At 35.4% G+C, this 21967-nt stretch overlaps 1 long non-coding RNA gene across 2 annotated transcripts in view, besides 1 other annotated feature; it reads left to right on the forward strand.

The window, feature by feature from the left end:
- LOC107985953 (uncharacterized) overlaps positions 1 to 21967 on the forward strand; it is a 139261-nt gene that overhangs the window by 73027 nt on the left and 44267 nt on the right. The window lies entirely within an intron of this gene.
- Positions 1550 to 2050: an enhancer, noted in NCBI's record as "H3K4me1 hESC enhancer chr2:156456563-156457063 (GRCh37/hg19 assembly coordinates)". NCBI's record gives its function as "activates a minimal SCP1, AML or CMV promoter by ChIP-STARR-seq in primed H9 embryonic stem cells {active_cell/tissue: H9 hESC(primed)}" and the evidence as "EXISTENCE:reporter gene assay evidence [ECO:0000049][PMID:30033119]".

The raw sequence follows: 21967 nt of genomic DNA on the forward strand, positions 1-21967 counted from the left end.
TCTATTAATACCACAGAATATTATGCAGGGTAAAAAGAATGACTGTAACATGCTACAACTTACATAAATCTTAAAACATGCAAAGTGAGTCTAGGCGCAGTGGCTCATGCCTGTAATGCCAGCACTTTGGGAGGCCAAGGTGGGTGGATCACCTGAGGTTGGGAGTTCGAGACCAGCCTGACCGACATGGAGAAACCCGTTCTCTACTAAAAATACAAAATTGGCTGGGTATGGTGGTGCATGCCTGTAATCCCAGCTACTCGGGAGGGTGAGGCAGGAGAATCACTTGAACCCGGGAGGCAGAGGATGTGGTGAGCTGAGATTGTGCCATTGCACTCCAGCCTGGGCAACAAGAGCGAGGCTCTGTCTCAAAAAATAATAATAATAATAATAAACAGACATGCAAAGTTAAAGAATCCAGTCACAAAGGCCACATATAGTATGATTCCACTGCTCTAAAATGTCCAGAATAGACAAATCTATAGAGACAGAAAGTAGATTGGTAATTGACAAGGGATGCAGGCAGAAAGGATTTGGTCCTTCATGCTAATAGATATAAAGTTTATTTTGTGCTGATAGAAATGCTCTGGAATTAGTGCAATGGTTATACATTTGAGAATATATTGAAAGTCACTCAATTATATAATTTAAAAGGTGAATTTTGTGGTATGTACATTATACCTTAATTATAAGAAAAAAATAGTAGACCAGATAAATTAAATTCCACAGATGTTTACTTATCATTAATGTGAGTTAAAATTGTTGTCACTTTCCATATAATTCGGTATAAATTGTGTACTATTTATGATAATTGATAGAAAAAAATACATGTACTTTGATTTGGTTTTGGCCAGTTCTCTATTCTGTTTTATAGTTACCATGTACGTGTATTCATTTTCTTTACCTTTGTGTATTAAAATACTGACTTTGAGCCACAGAGTGACACTTGGAATTTTAGAAAGTTTAAAATCAGATTATGGAAAACCGTGATGCTGTGGATTGTTCAACCTCCCTGACAATAAATACTTTATAAAATGAGCACTTCTGAGTAACCTCTAGAATTTTAGGACTTACTTTTGGGAGTTTCCTATCTGTGGCTTCCTTCATATTAAATAATGAAAACTTATTTGATAACATTACACAGTTCAACTATATTGTTTTCTTCTTTCAGTGCCTAGTACAAATTACCTCCACTTGGAATAAATCAATGCAAAATTTTAATGTTTAGTTTCTTTTCGTATTATTGGAGTCAACATACTACTTTCCTAATACATTCTTTATAAACTCTAGGCAACAGCAAGGTCTAAAATGTCACAGGATCCTTTGGGTGTCGCTTAACCAGCTGGAAACCTCTGTGGCCAGCGGGTCTCTGCTTGAGTTTTGCTCACACCCACTAGGCCCATTCCACTCATTTGGCCCAGTAGGCTGCTCTTGGCTTGAGCTACCAGCCTGGATCCCATGCCTGCCAAGGGCAAGCCAGGTGTTGAGTGGTGAGGGATGTGTAAACAAGCAAGTGTGGGGTCCGGCCACTGCGCATAGCCAGGCACACTGGCTGCTGTGGGGTGGGGCAGGCAACTCCAAGCACCAGCATGGGCACTGGCCCCTTGTGAGGCTGAGGCTGGACCAGACATATGGAAAGTGGCTTCTGCTGTGTGCACCAGTGTCTGAATAAGGGAAAACGCAGTAGCGCCTGAAAACTCAGAGATGCCTGGAGCCACAGAGCCCCAAAGAGGGTGTTACAGCCTGTCGCAGTCCTGGCTCAAGGAGCCCCGAGGTCTATACAGCCAGAAGGGCTGCAGTTCTACTCTCCTCATTATTCACAGTGTGGTGAACAGGGAAGCACGTTTTAGTGGGATATGTTTCAGCACATTTGTGTTATAGCTGTTTCAGTCCCACCACTTTGCGCTGGGCCCATGACTCCTGGGTCAGCCCGGTCCCACTGATGCTTCCCGTCACTGACGCTTCCCGTTGGATGGGGTGGCTGCCGGGCACCAGCAGAAGGCAGGAGGACTATAGTGTTACAGCCCCTTTAGCTCCTGCCCACAAGTCGGCGACGTGGTCAGGGAAATGTTACAGCTCCTTTTGCTCCTGCCATTTGGCAGGTCCTGAGTTCTTGTCCCCCATCCAAAAAGAATGAGGTTTTGCTGATAACTGGAGGGTGAGCAAGGTGGAGAGGAGCTTTATTGAGAACTGGAGCAGCCCTCAGCAGAAGGGAGACCTAAAGTGGTTAGCTCCTTTCTGCAGGCAGGTCGTCCTTACCAGTGTCTGAGTCTGGCTGTCTGGTGCTTTTATAGGCTCATAATGGAGGAAGTACATGCTGATTGGTCCATGGACAGAAGGAAGTGATTGTTGATTGGTCCATGCGTGGGTCTGGAAAAAGCACCACTTGGTTGGTTGAATGGCATCAAGGAATTTTCTCACTCAGGGTCATGGACTTCACCAGGAACTGGCAACCTGACCCTTAGACTTAAAGCCATGCCTGCCTTGAAGGTGGGTTTCCCCAGGGACCCAGTCCTTCCCAACCAGGAACCTGTCTGTCTCCCTCCTCCATTAACATGCCCTCCACAGAGCCCAGGCTATCAGTACCAAGGGGCACCCGCAAGCCTACACCAAGCCACCATCAGCCCCAGGCCTCCCCTCCCCATGCTCATTAGTGCCCAAAGTTTCAGCCTCAGAAGCAGTTTCCAGATGGGCCTAAGGGAGGTAGTAGGGGGGCTGGGACGTCCCCCGAGTGCACACACTGAGCATACACGCCCCCAGTCAGGTCACAACAGTGCCTGGACTTGGCTATCAAGACATGTCCACATCTTTGTTCTGCACAAAGCTGGTACTGGGAACAGGAAGAGGCTAGGAAGTGGGAGCAGGCACTTCCAAGTCTGCGGGGACATGAGGATTCCCGGGGCCCTGAGAGGACAGGGATGCCCAGGTCCGAAGCTGTGGCTGGGCAGCTGCAGCTGCACCTGGGAGGGCAGGGGTCCCACCCTGCCAATTCAATAGGGTGCAGGGTTCCCGCTGAGATCACCTGTTCCTGGCCCCTGCTGTTTCTGTGGAGGGCAGCCCCAGCGATGCCTTCCCCACTGTACCTGGCACCCTCACAGCAGCCACTCCAGATGGGCTGCTGACGCCATCAAAATGAGAGTTTTGTTTTTCAGTGAAGTGTGCTCCTTTTTAAGATGTGTTAACATATCTCACTTTTGGAACCAATATTTGAGAATAAAAATTCTCTACCAGATGACAATTTTACTTAAAAAGTGTTCAGATAATAGTCATGTTGATTTTTACGCTGCTTGCCCTCATCTCTATTAACATTTTCACACATACCAGAGGAAGCACAATGGAGTCAGTCGCACCTCAAATTTAAGATCTAGATACTTTGTTTCTTTTATTGCGTCTATTCACCCCATTGGTGAGAAAAGGATTTCTACTTCAAGGTCATGATAGCTGAACATCTGACACCTGACATTGGACAGATAAGGACTACGAAATCCCAGAAGTTTATTAGTCACATATAATTACAGAGTAGTCTGGGACCACACTTTGAAGATCACTAGAGAAATTATCTTTAAAATCTGGAATCAGGTTGAAATGATCACTGTATTAGCCAGTGTTGCTGTGGAAAAATCTTCCAAATGTCAATGTCTTTCAATCGCAATGTTATGTTTCTGGCTTACGTTTTATAAGAATTGGTGGTTGGCTTGGGCATGCTCTTACTGCTTCTCTCATCTACCTGCCTTCTTTATTATGAGAGAAAAGCTCAATCTGGGACATATTATTCTCACAGAAGAAAAAAAAATGAGCACACGAACTATTGAAACTAAAAGAAGGTTCTTAAATAATGTACAATGAACTGGAATGCTGTGATTTTCACACCTCCTCTATCAGTAAAAGTGAGTCCCATGACCGAATCTGATGATAACAGAACCAGGAGGTGCACCCATCTCATACAAATAAGTCCGTATTATGAGGCAAGGGTCTATACTTTTCTTGTAAGGTTATAACTGGAGAAACTTATTTATTTATTTTTTTAAAATTTCAGTAGCTTTAGGGGTAGAAGTGGTTTTTGGTTACATGAATGAATTGTGTAGTGGTGAAATGTAGGAAATTAGTGCACTCATCACCCAAGTAGTGTACATTGCACCCAACAGAGAGTTTTTCATCCCTCATCTTCCTCTTATCTTACTCCACTAGGAGTCTTCAGTGTACATTATGCCACTTATTTTTTTTTTTTGAGACAGAGTCTCATTCTGTTGCCCAGGCTGGGGTGCAATGGCACCATCTCTGCTCACTGCAACCTCCACCTCCCAAGCTGAAGCAATTCTCCTGCCTCAGCCTCCCAAGCAGCTGGGATTACACGTGTGTGCCACCATGCCCAGCTAATTTTTGTAGCTAATTTTGGCTTTTTTTTTTTTTTTTAGTAGAGATGGATTTTTGCCATGTTGGCCAGGTTGGTCTCGAAATCCTGACCTCAGGTGATCCACCTGCCTCGGTCTCCCAAACTGCTGGGATTATGAGAGTGAGCCACTGTGCCCAGCCATTATACCACTCTATATGTCTTTGTGTATCCATAGCTTAGCTCCCACTTAAAAGTGAGAATATAAGGTATTTGGTTTTCAATTCCTGAGTGACTTCACTTAGAAAAATGGTCTGCAGTTCCGTCCAAGTTGCTGCAAAAGACATTATTTTATTCTTTTTTATGGCTGAGTAGTATTCCATGGAATATTAATTATATTATATATATGTTTAGATATATGTAGTGTGTGTGTGTGTATATATATATATATATATATATCACATTTTCTTTACTCATCAGTTGATGAGCACTTAGGTTAATCCTATATCTTTGCAATTGTGAACTGTGCTGTGATAAACTTAAATGTGCAGGTGTCTTTTTGATAAAGTGACTTCTTTTTCTTTGGGTAGAAACACAGTAGTGAGATTGCTAGATTGAATGGTAGATCTAATACTTCTGGTTCTTTGAGAAATCTCCGTACTGTTTTCCATAGAGTTTGTACTAATTTACATTCCCAGCAGCAGTGTATAACTGTTCCTTTTTAAAAATCACATTCATACCAACATCTATTATGTGTTGTTTTTGTTTTCTTTTATTTTTTTTTACTTTTTAATTATGGCCATTCTGAGTGGTGTAAGGTAGCATCTCATTGTGGTTTTAATTTGCATTTCCCTGATGATTAGTGGTATTGAGCATATTTTCATATGTTTCTTGTCCACTTGTATATCTTATTTTTAGAAATGCCTAGTTATGTCCTTTGCCCCCTTTTTGATGAGATCATTTGTTTTTTTCTAGCTGATTTGAGTTTCTTGTAGATTCTGGATATTAGTTTTTTGTCACATGCATAATTTGCAAATATATTCTCCCATTCTGTAGGTTGTCTATTTACTGTGATGATTATTTGCTGTGCAGAGGCTTTTTAGTTTATATAGTTTCCATTTATTCATTTTTCTTTTTGTTGAATTAGCTTTTGGGGTCTTAGCCATAAATTTTTTCCCGCAGCCAACATCCAGAAGAGTATTTCTTAGGTTTTCTTCTAGAATTTTTTGTGGCTTCAGGTCTAAAATTTAAGTCTTTAATCCATGTTGAGTTAATTTTTGTATATAGTAAGAGATAGGGATCCAATTTTATTCTTCTACCTGTGGCTATCCAATTTTTCTAGCACCATTTATTGAATTTCTCCAACTTATGTTTTGTATGCTTTGTCAAAGATATGTTGGTTTTAAGTACTTGATTTTATTTCTGGGTTCTCTACTGTTCCATTGTTCCATGCATTTACTTTTATACCAGTACCATGCTTTTTTGGTTACCATAGCTTTGTAGTATAATTTTAAGTGAGGTAATGTAATGCCTCTAATTTTTTTTTCTTTTTGCTTAGGGTTGCTTTGGCTATCTGGGATCTTTTTTGGTTCTATATGAATTTTACAATAGTTTTTTAAATAATTTTGTGAATACTTATGTTGGTATTTTGATAGGAATTGCATTGAATCTATAGATTGCTTTGGGCAGTACAATCATTTTTATTTGACTCTTCTAATTCATGAGTATGGGATATATTTCCAGTTTTTTGTGTCGTCCACGATTTATTTCAGCAGTGTTTTGTAGTTTTCCTTGTAGAGATCTTTCATCTCTTTGGTTAAGCATATTTTTAGATATTTTTGTAGCCATTATAAAAGCGGTTGAGTACTTGATTTGATTCTCAACTTGGCCATTGTTGACATATAGCAATGCTACTGATTTGTGTACATTGGTTTTATAACCTGAGACTTTAGTGAGTTCATTTTTAGATCTAGAAGTCTTTTGGAGGAGTCTTTAGAGTTTTCTAGGTATAAGATCATATCATCAGCAAAAAGAGATAGTTTGACCTCTTTTTTCCCAATTTAGATGTCCTTTATTTTTTAGTCTTCCCTGATTGCTCTAGCTAGGGAAAAACAAATTTAATTTACAATGCTCCACACATTTTATTACAAAATTTCATTGCTCTTTCTGTGCACACAGTACATTTGCTTCCTAACCAAAGAAAACACCTACAAATTATCATCACGTCACAGCACCAGACTCAAAGTGTCCTGATAGTCCCGATTTCAGGTCTTAATATGTTTTTTCTCTATCAAGAAATCTATGAAATAACAGTAGGCTATTTACCCCATGTACACAACAAGTACTACTAGAATGTCACAGGATAACTTTTTTAAAATCCCATCTTCAAAGGGAAGAATAGTAAAAAGCATGTAGGGACCCCACCTATTCTAAAATCCCATTGGACAGGTATTGCAATGGGCTTCCATCCTGAAGAGTTGGAAATATTCCTTGGTTAGATATTCTAATCTAATTCCCTTCCAGGGATTTGTCTCACAGTCCATTATTTTTCATTTCTTTTCAATCCAGACTTCTGGAGGTTTTACTTTTTTTCACTTAGTCACATCTGTGGTAGCTTTTGGCTAATATTTTCTTCTGGAGACTTAGCAAATTCTTTCTCCTGTTTTCTGCCTATAGAAGCTTGGGGAACCAGATTTGTTTTAGGTCTGAAAACTCACAGTCTCAATTAGTAAAAATGAAAGTTCTTCTGTTAATAAAACTTACTAAAATATTTAGTCAGCTTTTCCTCTGTTGCCAGTCAGCTCCACGAGTCAATAGCTATACCCACAATAATTGTTAAGTCTTGCTTCTCTCTGGTTTTAATTGTTGGCATTTTTAATTCATCAGGCTATTTTTTTCTTTCTGTATATAAAGGCAAAACATTGCTGGACATATATTAGGCATTCAGTAAATATGTATTAGATAAGTGAATGATGAACAGTCAAAAAATTACTTATAAAATTGATTTAATAATACCAATAATCAAATAATTGCAAATTATTAAAACAGGAGATTTTCTTTTCAAAAAATATTATTCCCATTGTGGGCTAGAACACAGGGAAATGGGTAACCACATTATATAAATTTATACAGACTTCCTAAAAGACAATCTAGCAATGAATATTAAAATTTCCAAAAGTGTTATAGCCTCTTATATCCTGGCAACACAAGTTTAGAACATGTGGGAAAAATATGTAAACAAGGATATAAATTACAACACTGGATACATCTATATTATCCTACAACAAGGAATTAGTTCCATACATAATGAAATATTTATTGTGAATTATTATGCAGTCATTAAAACTATCTTTCCCAAGATATATAACTATAAATGTATAGTTACATCTGTACTTTTATATACATATGTATATGTATGTGTCTGTACAATGTATATGTGTGCATATTTATACACACACATACATATACACACACATACACATACACAATTATGTATATATACGTAAAATTTTTTGTGTGAGTATAAACTAGGAAAATAAAAGTAGCCATTTGTGTGGTGAAATTCCACTTCCATTTTAAAAGATTATATATATATGCATATAAGTATTCATATGTACAAATAATAACTATAAAAATGTAAATATCACAGTGGTTATTGGATCATACATTATTTGCATTTTTCTTTCTTTGTGTTTATCAATATATTCTAACTTTTGTAAAGTGAACATAGATTAGTTCTAATTAAAAACTCAATAAAAGTAAAAGAGGCAGCAAAATATAAAAAAGACTATTGAGGTAAAATACTTCATGATTTACTAATGGAGAAACATAAAATTAAAGCTTATAAATGTGACTAATAATAAAAACAAGTTTATTTTGTATGGTGGTAATATATTAAGAGCACCATCTTTGTTAAAACCAAGCAGATAGTATGTAAGATATTCCTATATATAAAAATGTATATTTTCAAGTATAACTGACTAGTTTGACATAGAAAAACAAGTCAAGATAAAAGAATCAAATTCAACTCAAAATTAGATTGTTTTCTAAAAATAAATTGATTTCACTTTAAATAATGATTCTTCTTTAATTTCTGTTATTGCTTTTCTCATCTTCATTACAAAGGGTCTAGGTTAGGAGTTGGGTGGACCTGAGTAGCAATAAAACATGTCTCAGCCAGGCGCGGTGGCTCACGCCTGTAATCCTAGCACTTTGGGAGGCTGACGCGGGTGGATCACGAGGTCAGGAGATCGAGACCATCCTGGCTAACACGGTGAAACCCCGTCTCTATTAAAAATAAAAATAAAAAAAATTAGCCAGGCGTTGTGGCAGGTGCCTGTAGTCCCAGCTACTCAGAAGGCTGGGGCAGGAGAATGGTGTGAACCCTGCAGGCGGAGCTTGCAGTGAGCCGAGATGGCGCCACCGCACTCCAGCCTGGGCAACAGAGCGAGACTCCATCTACTCCATCTCAAAAGAAAAAAAAAATGTCTGATTTGCCATTTCAATCTGCATGTGCTGCAATGGAACCTCTGTTCCTCCAGACTCATATGACACATTAGTGAATCTGAATCAGGGCCAGGAAAGGTAGAGTAGTGTGAGAGAACAACTGTGAAAATCCATGCAATTGTTTTATAGGAAAAATTTCAGTGAGGAAATGTCTCCTTGCATCTCCTTTCTTACTCATTTCCCTCAAAGAAATCATATGTATTTCTGTTTTTAGGTCTTTGTTTAGTACTCTTCTCTCAGGCAAATCTCATGTATTAGTCAGGGTTCTCCAGAGAAACAGAATCAACAGGAGACACATGATAGATATGTAAAACGATTTATTACAAGAAACTATCACACAATTTTGGAGACTCAAAAGTCTCAAGATCTGCTAACTGGTAAGCTGGAGACCCAGGAGGGCAGATGTAGTTCTAGACCAAGTCTGAAGGCCTGAAAGCCTGGAAAGCCAATGGTATAAGAGCCAGTCTGAAAGCCAGCAGACCCAAGAAGAGCCAATCTTTTACTTCAAGTCTAAAGGCAAGAAAAGACAGATATCCCAGCTCATGCACTCAGGCAGGAGGAGTTTCCTCTTACTAGTGGAAGGGTCAGTTTTTTAATTCTATGTGAACCTTCAACTGATTAGATAAAGGCTGCCCACATTAAGGAAGGCACATTGCTTTACTCAGTCTACTAATTCAAGTGTTAATCTCATCAAGAAGCACCCTCAAAGACAGAATAATGTTTGACCAAATATCTGGGCACCCAATGGCCCAGTCAAGTTTGCATATAAAATAAACCATCATATGTACATCAGTACATCTTGCCTTAAAATGTTTATTTTTAAGGATATGTTTATTTTAAGTACAACCATCTTGCCTTAAAATGTTTATTTTTCAAGGATATGGATTCATTTCTACATAAATTTACTCCACCAGCATTTACTGATCACCTACTCTGAGAAATCACTCTCTAAACTCTGGGGATGCAGTTCTGAGGAGGATACAGTTCTGTCTTCAGAAAATGCTGATGGAAATAATTTTAATGAACAGTAATGGTAAAAGGAGATAAACGAAAACAGAATCAATGTGTGCAAAGTGACAGAAGTAAGTACCAAATATGTTTATAAGAAGCAGAAGACCAAGTGTGCTGAAGTATAAGATACCAAAAAGAAGTAGAGAGAATATGGCAGAGAAGAGAGATTTGGAATATCTTATCCATTAAGTCATTAAGTCAAGTTGTTTGCTTTTATTATTATTAACAATGGAGAGCTATTGACAGCTTTAGTCAGCATGGGCTTGATTAAACAATGGGAACTGTTAATGGGTTATTGTGTATAGAAATACTTCATAAAGGAAATAGTGGAGAGAGAAAACTAACTAGAGGGTTAATGTCATAGATCAAGTGAAAGGTAATAAGTGGTTTAAAAAGTTCCAGTATTTGGTAAGAATGGATATTATTAGGTAAAATTAAGAAGTCATAACAATATATTTTTAAATGGTAGGTGTGAGAGCGAAGGTTCAACTGTAATGTTTAAGTTACTGGGAGAAGAGAACTATTATTCTGAAACAAGGAAGTCATTATGGGTACCTACTGAATTGAGGACATAATATTTATTCTGAGCCATATTAAGTTCATTGTGCTAGTAATACATACAGGTAGACATGTAGTCTGGCTCTCAAGTGGTAATCTTGACTATTCTATGACTTTGGTAGTCTATCCATGTGCACTTGTAAATTAGGTTTATACACGAATCTTTTTCCTCATTTCCCTGGCACAAACTGCCTGCCTTTTCCTCAGCTTTCTTCTCTCTTCTTTCTAAAGCCTTAGAAGACATTGGCAACTAGCCCATGTCAGTAAGTGACAATAGACTTTCCCTGCTCCACCAACACCAACACGATTGCTTTTTAATGGAGGATTTCTGCATACACAATTGCTGTGTTTCAAAAGGTTGATCTCTCAGGATTTAATTTAGATAATCAGAAATTGTTAACAGGGAAAGTAATTGGGGCATAGGATATTAGAGTGGTCTCTCAATGCCTATTGTACTATGTAGGATTAACCACTGTTTGATTTACCTAGGTTTGATCTTTGTCATCATAAAGTTGACTCAGCTACACAAAAAAAGATGCATATTTTAGGACTGTTTTGTTACAAGTCCAATTTATGTTTCTGTGATAAATCAACTTATTCTTTATCTCAGAAGCTTGAAATAATTTCATTGGCTCCTGTTTATATTATGAATCAGCCCATTAATTAAGTCCTAATCCTAAGTGTAGAAAGACAGATTTATTTTGTTAAAAAAAACTGTATGCACAGCATTAATTCAATTTTGTAAAAACTGTGCATGCATATATATTTGGAAAGATGTCCAAAGAAATATTAAAATTGGTAACCTCTGAGCAGTAAGATTAAATGTGATTTCAAATTTATTCTTTATTCTTTGTCGTATTGTTCAAATTATCCATAATGAACATGTATTACTTTTATAATCTGAAAAAAAATTCAGAGAAAGTAAAAGGGTTATTCATCACATAATACATTTATGGAGTAGAATTCACTTGGCCTTAAAGGCGTGCAAAATTCCCACCCCAAAGACAGCCGGGAAGGAAACATATCAGTGCCAACACAGCAACCTCAGACTTCTGTGTAGATTGGGGCCATTGTACAGTAGCATTACGCTCACAACGACCTGCTCAGTCTCTCGTGGCAACTATTGAATTCTGACTGAGGCCACTCCTGTTCATTCTCTTGCCTACTAGCGTAAGTCACTTGGTTGGGCACAGCTTAATTCTTGACTATGGATTTCGTGAACTCCTCTTATAAAATGGTACAATTACTGCAGGTCACGAACATCAAATGCCACTAACACTTCCAGCTGTGACCACGGAATAGCCTCCCAACAGAAGTACTGCAACATGGTAATAATAACATCCCAGCTGTAGCCACAATCACCGAAATCACTGACAGTGTCAATAATGTATAAAACCCCATGGAAACTCAACTGTACTTGCCAAAAGGCATTCATCAATTTCATTGCCTTTTATCTACCATTTAAAATGGTCTGGTTTTAGTGTTAGGGTTTTTAAAATAAATGACTAGGGTAAATAGGCCCTGGCTGAATTGCTCACTATCTGCTGTGAATTGCTTCTCTAAATGTTGAGGACGTGAAGTTCAGCCTTAACCACTCAAGTACATTCTGTATCCACTACATGTTAGGTGATGGGATGTGAGCAAAGAGAGTTGAGTATCCAGAGAGGTGAAATTTACTAAGCCCCATTACAGCTTAAGTTCATTTAAAGCATTGTCAAGGACATGGTGAAAATACAGGAGAGGGAACCGCTTTGATTTCTTAGAAGCCAGTCAGCTTTTGGAAGATCTAAGATAGTGAAAATGTGGGAAGACTGAAGAGAAAAGGTCTATTTAACTGATGCTAGGAATAATAAACTGTAACAATCACTACACCTTACAACAGTGTTTTCCTGTATTTGCTCAAATACTCTGCAGAGGAGATAAAACAATTGCTCGTAACATTTGAGCAAACTGAAATTACTGTAACTGCGGATAGGAAAAACTAAAACAGAAATCAAAAAAAGAATTGTTTGTTGTATAAAACAATTATTGAATATCATATTCTTTTAATATGCTGGTCATTATTATTATTGTAACTTGAACTTGTATGATTATTTAGCTTGTCATAGCTCTTTCAAATATATTACTCCACTGATAATTCACCAAAATTCTGTTAAATTTTATTATCCCCATGTATTACATATAGTAATACAGATCTCAGAGAGGCTAAAATATGTCTGGTATCACACGGCTTGTTAGAAAGCAAAATGAACAAAAGAACATTGATATTCTGTCAGATCAGCTGCTCTCATCTACAAAATTCTACCTTTCCTTGACTATGTGCTCTTTGTTGTGGATAAATACCTATCAAACCTCAGAAAACCTGTAGTTTGTAATCTCATGTTTTAGGATGTGAATGTCTTCTAATAATTTTCTCTTCGCTGAGCAGAAGAGTATAACTTTGGGCTAAGCAGGACAAATCTCCCAAGAGCTAGCTAAAGGCCCTTCCAAAGTGGCAGAAAATAAGAAATAAAGAATATATATACATCCTGCTGACAGGTCTGAAAAAAAAAGAATCTATAAAAAGAAACTATAGTGAACATATAGGTGGTTTGACCATGTTTTTATATTTTTTCATTTATTATTTTTTGTAAAAATTTACTAATCAATTTGAATAATAATTTAATAATTACTTCGTCAATGTTGAGGATTTAATGGAGAGCAAGGTAGATGTGGTCACAGCTCTAGCTTTACAATTTAGAAGAAGAGATAGAAATATAAATATACACATAAATATATGTGAAAAATAAATATATCAAATTTGTAAGTTCTATGAAGAAAACTAGATTTAATGATGAAGTTAAAAAGCATAACTTTGATAAGATAGTCAAATAATACATCTGTGAAAAGATGGCATTTAAGTCACAATAAAATATATTTACTTACCTGAGTAATAAATGGAATGTAGAAAATAAATTTCCAACGCAAGTATAAGTGATTTTCAAATATTGAAAGTCACCTAGATACAGTACAAAGTTTTGAAAAGTCTGTTATGAAAATTGAAATTACTTGATCAAAATGCTCCACTGGGATATTATGAATGAAGGGGTAAATTCTGCTGAATGTGAGATCGCCTGAATGTGAAGAAGTGAAAAAACAGAAGCAGTATCGTTGTACCCCTTTTATCCGCCTCCACTGCCAATGAATGGGATTAAAACTGTATTTCAGTTGAAAGCTTTATATGTTACTTTCATCCTGGAGATATTATTTCACAGCCTTTCAAATGTGGTACTCTTTGGTGTATTGTGTCTTAAAAAGCTGTCAGGTTGAATATACAATATATTCCAAAATGAAAGAGAATTATGACTTATTCCCTTGTGAGTGTGATACTTGTCCCTGAATTGTTAATAACCAAAGATATAAAGTTGTTCATTATTTTAAAATTCAGCAATTTTTTCAATGTACAAATATTCATGTAAATGAATAGCCTAATACTTGACATGATTTAGTTAGAGAAACTGCTGTTATAAAGTTTTAAATATGCCATATCCTAGAACTAACACAAATCTAAAGCTGATATGAGCTAGGCTGATTATATTACCCATTTTCCTTAAAATTTTTATGTTATTTGTTTTCTTATAGCAAATTTTATTATACTATCCAACATTAAACCCTTATCACTGTCTAACCAACATGGCAGATTCCAATATCTGAAATAAGTCAGAAAGTTGTTTCTTATTGGAGTTGTTCAAAGATGAAAAGGCTGTCTTGCAAAGTTGAGATTTTCCACCCTAGATGTTTTCATGTAAAGAATGAATACTCATACATCAGGGAATGAAGGTTATATTCTTCATGCTTTGAAATTTTTTCTATAATCCTATGACCTAAGATGAGTCTATCTAAACTTATGATACCAGTTGGAAAACAAAACAATGAGTTCAGTCAAACACTTTGAACCACTTTTGAACACCATGCTGATGTAAATTTTATCCACAAAATTCAATTAATAAAAACTTGATATCACGGTTTTAATAATATGATTATATTTTCATTAATAAAGAATATGATAGACTAAATAAATCTCATTTTTAATTATTTGTAATAACCAGTACATGGATTTGCTTCTGACATAAGGTGTGCCAAATTATCAAGAGTGAAGATCTTGGTATGCTAAAAAGCAAAAAGACTGGCAGTAAGAAGCTTAGTTTATTTTTACCTCTACAATTTATTAGCTCTGCAATATTGTACATTTCTTTAGCCTCTCTGTACCTCACTTTCTGTACCTAGATAGGAGTTGAAGTTGAAGGATTTCTAAATTTATTATAACAATGTGATTCTCCAAGGGAGAGTACAGTTCTTTGATAATAAGCAAAAAGGCTGGCCGCGGTGGCTCATGCCTGAAATCCTAGCACTTTGGAGGCCAAGGCGGGCTGATCACCTGAGGTGAGGGGTTCAGGACCTCTTGACCAACATGGAGAAACTCAGTCTCTACTAAAAATACAAAAATTAGCCAGGCGTGGTGGTGCGCACCTGTAATCTCAGCTACTTGGGAGGCTGAGGCAGGAGAATCACTTGAACCCAGGAGGCAGAGGTTGCAGTGAGCCAAAATCATGCCACTGCACTCCAGCCTGGGTGACAGAATGAGACTCTGTCTCAAAAATGATAATAATAATAATAAGAATAAGAAGAAGAAGAAGAAGAAGAGAAGAAAGAAAGAAAAAAACCTACTGTGTATGTCATTTTCACCTTGATTTGATTTGATTTCTCTGCTCATAGATTGAAACGCTTTAATTTGCCAGTATGTTGTACTGTTTAGGGATGTGGATTCCGCAGACTCCCTGGGGTTGAATCCTTGATCTCTCATGAACTAGACGTGTGATCTAGTATGTTTTTAAATTTTATCTACACCTCAGTTGTCTGATCTGTAGGGGATAATGATAAAATGCATAAATTGTCATGGGGACTGAATTTGCACATGTAAAAATGCTTAAATGGCTTCTGACACATAGTAAGTGTTCAATAAATATTAGCTATTTTTATCTTGTTCAATATTTTATTCATTTTACCTTTGGTCTCATTTTGGGATAAGAACAATATAAAAAAGGAGCTATAAGTCTATGTCTTCTTAAAAGCATTACCCTATATTAATGTGCCTGCATAGAAAAGATGATAGTTGTATATAAAAGGAGTTTTAGGATACTTTTCAAACTAAAAGCATTTCAACAGGTAGAATTGTAAAAGTTGATTGTCTATGCTTCACTCTGTGATTGTTTAATACAAAAATTTGGCTTTTTTTCTTTGATCCATATAATAGACTTTCTTAATTTTGATACCCAGAAATGAACTTAAACATACAGTATAAAGTATATATAAAATATAGCAGGAAATATTGCTTAGACATAACAGCTCTACATATTGATCTAAATTTGAATCAATCATCATTTCAGGTTTTATAATTGCTAATGAAAAAGAAGATTTTTCCAAAAGCCACGACTTAGAAATGGACTTCAAGTTGTTTTCCCTGGTCACATGCCATAGTTTCCACAAACGCCACATGATTAAATCCTTTAAATAATGCAGCACTTTTGGGTATCTAAAATAGATGCATGAAAGTGGTAACTTTGTCCAAACACCTTAAATATGTCTTCTTTTATTCTTGCTTTCTTTTCTGACCTGGATCTGGCTGCCAATGCACATGAAAGAAATTACAAAAGCTTCTCAGTCACTGCGACTCAGGTTCCTTTTGCACTACAGCATTTGTCATTGCCAAAACAGCAGAGTTTAATTAAGTGTTGTGAGCAGCCTAGTGAGAAACACACTTTAAATTAAACCTCTGTACATGCAGCTATTGGTTCTTTACCTCCTGAACAATCAGCGGGGTGTTAGGCATAAATTCCGTCTCTCAAGGGAAATGTAGCTCCACGCACCTCTAGCGATTCATAAATGATCCTGCTTTCTCAGAACCATATCTTATTAAAGCACATTTAATTATTTCTAAGTTTTAAACACCGATAGATGAAGGCCATAATTAATGTGCCTACCACTAAACATTTTATTTACTCTTGATATATTAATGGTATTATCAAGAAAATATGCTACAGTTTCAAGTTTAACAAAATTACATGGCAAATTATCTTTTGATGCATCAAGCAATTGTTAATATAATGGAATAAATTATTTTAACACCTCAGTAGTAATGGATGGGTAAAAGAAAGTAAGCATTTTAATTTTCAGAATGTTTTTGCAATTACACATTTCAGAAGACAGTTAAATCAATGATCCAAGTGTTTGGAATTTTAGAAACAGAAACAAAAACAATTTAGAAAGGTGACTTGTAGGCTTTGGGTTTCTTACATGCAAGAGATGTATCAATGTAACTGATCTCATAACAGCAAAGTTCTGGTAAAAGGTTTGGATGAAAAAAATGCTGTTTCTGAAAATTATATTTTGATGTGCTCAGTCACACAAACTTTCAAATTTATATTTTTTCTTAAAATAAAAAGATTAGCATGTACATTTTATATACATTTGATTAAATACAGTCTCATAAAATAATGGTGATTTTTTTCTAAACTGGACAGTCTATCAGTGCAAGTGAACAGTCAGGATAAATGACTACATTCATAAAATATTCTTGACTTGTTCAACAACACCATGGGGCAATTTCACACTCTGAAGGACATTCTCAGTGCAGGCCTTCTACACAAATGCAGAAAAGATGAAAAGATGATCTATTATTCATTAGAATTAGGCACACATATTTATCTCTCCTCCATTAATCTCCTCCAGATTAATGGAGGAGAGATAACTTCTATGTTTGGTAAATTTCAATAAAGTTGATGCTGCTACATGCTGTCCATTGATTTGGAAGTTCTTGCCTAGAACTTTTGAAACAAAGGAAAAAATGTAAAGATAATAGCAATATTAATTTTCATACACTTATTTATCTATATTTTTACCTAGAAGACTCATCTCTAAAATCGCTGTTAACACTGTGATTTTAGTCTTTTCATTCTGTGCAACTTACAAGTAGGTAAAGTAGATTTCAGTGATTATCCTTAAATATGCAAGAGATACACACACACTAGTACTCATTTGAAACTAGCTTGAAGTCTAAAATATTTCTGAATTAAAGTAACTTGCAGGATATTAATTGACTTAATTTTATATGATTTATCTTAGAAACCTGTAGTTGTTAATTAAAATTAAAGTTTTGTATGTGTTATTTTACCTTTTTGATAAGGGCTTCAAAGAGAATATGTATGTTTAATTATTTTAGGAATGTATCCTAGATACTAATAATTTATGCAGTTCTTATAAAATAGTTAATGATTACTGACATCAGTAGATCTGAATGAATTGATAACTTCACATTTTTCTATTTATGTATCATTTCTCCGGAGTCCTCTCAATGCTGTACATGCAGTCCCCCCACATGGCTATTTATCTTTTCTTCCACTTTCTTTACAGTCTCCATTTCCTCCACTTTGTTTATTCTCCAGTATTCTCACTCTTATTGCAATTGAGACTGGCAGTAAAAAACAAAGCCATAGGACAAAAATCTGGTTTGGAACATACAAAATTAAAGTTGCTATATAAGAACAAGGGGAATTTAGGGAAGTTGTAGGTCAATTTGTTTAATGAATGGCAACCTCTGCTCGAAAAATTTTCCTTTCATATTCCTAAAATAACTTCACTTGCTGGTTTTACACAAGTGAACATTTCACCAATGAGAGATTAATTTGTTTTAATAAGCACTCTCTTTAAAAATGAAAATACCTTTGGGAGTGTTTAGTGACTAATACTTCTTACCTTAATATGAATAGGTTCAATTAGGCTGTGTCCCTCTAACCTTCTAGCTGGTATCTACTGCCCTGAGGGAATGGGGGTTTGGGTGGTAAAAAAATACATAGTCATTAATCCTAAAGCTTATCATGGTTTGAAGAATAAGTTATGGAGGAGGGGAGAGAAGGTGTTTCCTGTCATTGTGCCCAAGAGCTAAGATTCCCAGCTAGATTTTCTTGGTTCAAATTCCAGATCTACCACGTTAATTGTGTAGGAGTGGTCAATTTAATTAGCTGAAGGCGTCTTAGGTAAAATAGGGATGATAATAATATTGCCCATTTCATAGGGTTGTTTTGAACATTAAATCAGTATAAAATGGGTATACAATTTTCAGCACACAGAAAATTTTTTAAAACGGTAGCTAATTCTATTTTACCTTTTTGGTGAGAAAATTATCAGGCAATCAAACATTAACATTCTTAAGTCAGATGAAATAAAGATTTTTTAAAATGCTTATCATTTGGGTCCTTCTCCGGCCTAGCTTTTAACGCAAAATTGTAAACATTCCATGGCAAAGCCTTGGCCTAGTCTCATTCTGCGATTGCTTCTGCATTCAGTATCAAGTAATTTGTTGTTTATCCCTTCCTATTACTGCATTAGCTCCATATCTTGCCTCAAGCCTGGTTTTGCCTTTTTATATTATGTACCTTAAGGAATCTCTCAGTTCCAATGTTAGACACTGACAGTAGAGTTGGCAAAAGCTGCAGCAGGGGCATAGAGATCAGATGAGTTTCGAATTGAAAGGGGCTAGAAGGTTAGAGAAATTCAGGGCTCAAAATAGAAAATTTCAAGAACCAGGACTTGAAATCAGTAATCTGCGGTATTTCTGTCTCAAAGATAGTACTAAAGTATTTAGGGTACCTGGACTACATGGATAAACATGAGCCAAGCTTAAGCCCTAATCCAAACTTTGAAAAATACACAATTGTTCAAAACAAATAATGTGCTAATAAAATTTTAGTATACAATTTACTTCTGAGAAGTGCTATAATTTAAAGGACAAAGTCCCAAATACTGATGTTGGAAATAATGGTTTAATGTTATAACATAGAACAGAAAGGACAATAAAGTAAAGCAATGGGGAGATGAGGAAATACATGAGTAAGCTCCTGTAAATTGTCATTTTCAACCAAGAGTCAGTCTAACAAATCAGAAACTATTGTTTAATATTCTGCATTGGCCAGGCGCGGTGGCTCATGCCTGTAATCTTAACACTTGGGAGGCCAAGGCAGGTGGATCATCTGAGGTCAGGAGTTCATGACCAGCCTGGCCAATATGATGAAACCCTGTCTCTACTAAAAACACAAAAGTTAGCCGGGCATGGTGGCAGGCACCTGTAATTCCAGCTAGTCGGGAGGCTGAGGTAGGAGAATCACTTGAACCCAGGAGCAGAGGTTGTAGTGAGCTGAGATCGCACCATTGCATTCCAGCCTGGGTGACAGAGCGAGACTCCATCTCAAAAAAAACAAAAACAAAACCAAAAAAAACTGCATCATAATTTTCTATAGCTTTAACTTTCTAGCCATTCATTATATGAAATCTTCTAACAAAAAATATTCTGATAAAAATTTTCTTTCTTTTATTTTCAATATTCCTTTGTTATTATGATTTTAGCTAAAAAGATAAAAGTTATTTGGTTAAAGATAAAAAGTTATTTGAAGCCATTGAAATAAGTTATTTGATATAAGAAAAAAAAAAGAAAGTAAAATATAATGGCCACCTCTTGGTCTTGCTACATGATACCCCCTCCCTGGAGTAACCAATGATAAGAGATGGATGAGATCTATCCACACATATCACTATATTTACAAAACTTATATAAACAGAAATTTACATTCAAAATGTTTTAACAAAAATTAAACTTTAATACTTTTCTTTTTGCTCTGCAATTTGCTTTAAGAAATTACTGCATATTTCATGGACATTGTGTTAGATTATTGCACATACTCTTCTTTCATTCATAGGGCTTTAACAAAATTTATTCAAATATTTTTCCTTTTTAAAAAACATTCCAAATGATTTCAGTTTGGGGCACTTCAAACCCCCCCACACAATTATTTATTTTATTTTTATAGGAGAGATGTTTGAAAGGTGTTAAAAAACTACTCCCATTTTCAGTTGAGATAGATACTATCATTTTAGCTTTCTAAAAGTTTGTAACAATTCATATTCTCTCTAATAGAATAGAGAGTTTCCAATTCCTCACACTATTCCCAAGTCTGGCTTTGAAACAATAGTTAAGGCAGCTTCTATTAACTGATCTAAATATATCAAAGAATATATTAAACAATTCCGCTGAACTCATTGCCATGCAATATCTGACTTTGCTTGGAATTATAAACAAACTTCTGAAGTATTTTAATTTATCTAACTCTAGAGAGAAAACAAAAACACTCATCTACTGAACGTCCCTGGAATGAGGTAACTAGTGTGACAAGAGGGAATCAGGACAAAAGTGGTTTTAGGGATTCTAATATTCTTTCATAATGTGTGCTCATAATAATTCAAACCACATGCAACATAAATAAATTGTTTCAGCAGTGTCTTATTTTTTCTAAGTGAAGTGACCTCCAAATTGTAAAGAAATACTAAAATGTATGTATCTTATTCATATTATCAAAATGGCTATATCAATCAGTATACAACAACACCGAGAGAGGGTTTTATAATACACCTAACCATTCATTATTTTTGTTTTTCATCACAGAGAGAAAAAACATGGTAAGAATTGTATATGTTCTACTTACACTAATTATCAAGAAGAAAATTTTACTTCTGTAAAATGGGGATGTTAATATTAACCTACACTTTTAATACTTGAACTAATTAATGACCAATAAAAATACAGTGTCATGTGTAAACTATTTAATTTTGTAAAAGTATTACATCTAATACAAATGCAATGAAAATATTTGAGCAAATTATGTTTTTCCATAATATTGCTTTTATACAGTACAAATGTATAATTGTAAATTCTTATCAAAAATAAAATTATTAACTATCTCTTTCGGCCATATGAATTTTGACCACATAAGTTACTTAGTTGCTATTGTACTGTATATTTAATGTTTATATTTAGGATTGCTCTATAAAAAACAAATGCTATCACTCATCACATATTAACAATTTTTAGTATTTTGAAAAATTATATTTAAAAACTATGAAAATATTCACAAATTTTTCAAAAAGTTATATGTGCATATATATGTTTTAATTAAATGTATAAGATATTATATATCATAGATACATATATTAGATTTTAATTACATTATGATAAATGATTATTTAATAAATACCTATTAAGAACCATTAGGTGTATGTACCTGGATCAGAGAACTGAATAAAACATGCTCTTTTTGTTCACAGAACATACTTTGTAAGAAAACACGTAAAAAATAATTTTAATAAAATATGAAAAATGCTTTGATAGATGTATGATAATTTCATTAAAGGCTTCATTCTTTACCTTTCTCTGAATCCACATGACTTAGCAGTTTTCTCCATGAAGGTGCAGTACATTTCCTCAACTCATGTGACTTGTTTCATCAATTGGATGAAGTAGAGGGGACAGTATGTCATTTCTGAACCTAGGTTTTAAGAAGTTGTGGATATTTTCACTTGTCTTCATTTGCACTTCTACTACTGTTATGAAGACATATTCAGGCTAGCCTACTGTTAGATGATGTGGTAAGAAATAACAGATGAATCTTATTAGTCTTTCCAGGTGATACCAGCTCA

Source organism: Homo sapiens, chromosome 2, assembly GCF_000001405.40.
Source record: "Homo sapiens chromosome 2, GRCh38.p14 Primary Assembly".
NCBI classification, from domain to species: Eukaryota; Metazoa; Chordata; class Mammalia; order Primates; family Hominidae; genus Homo; species Homo sapiens.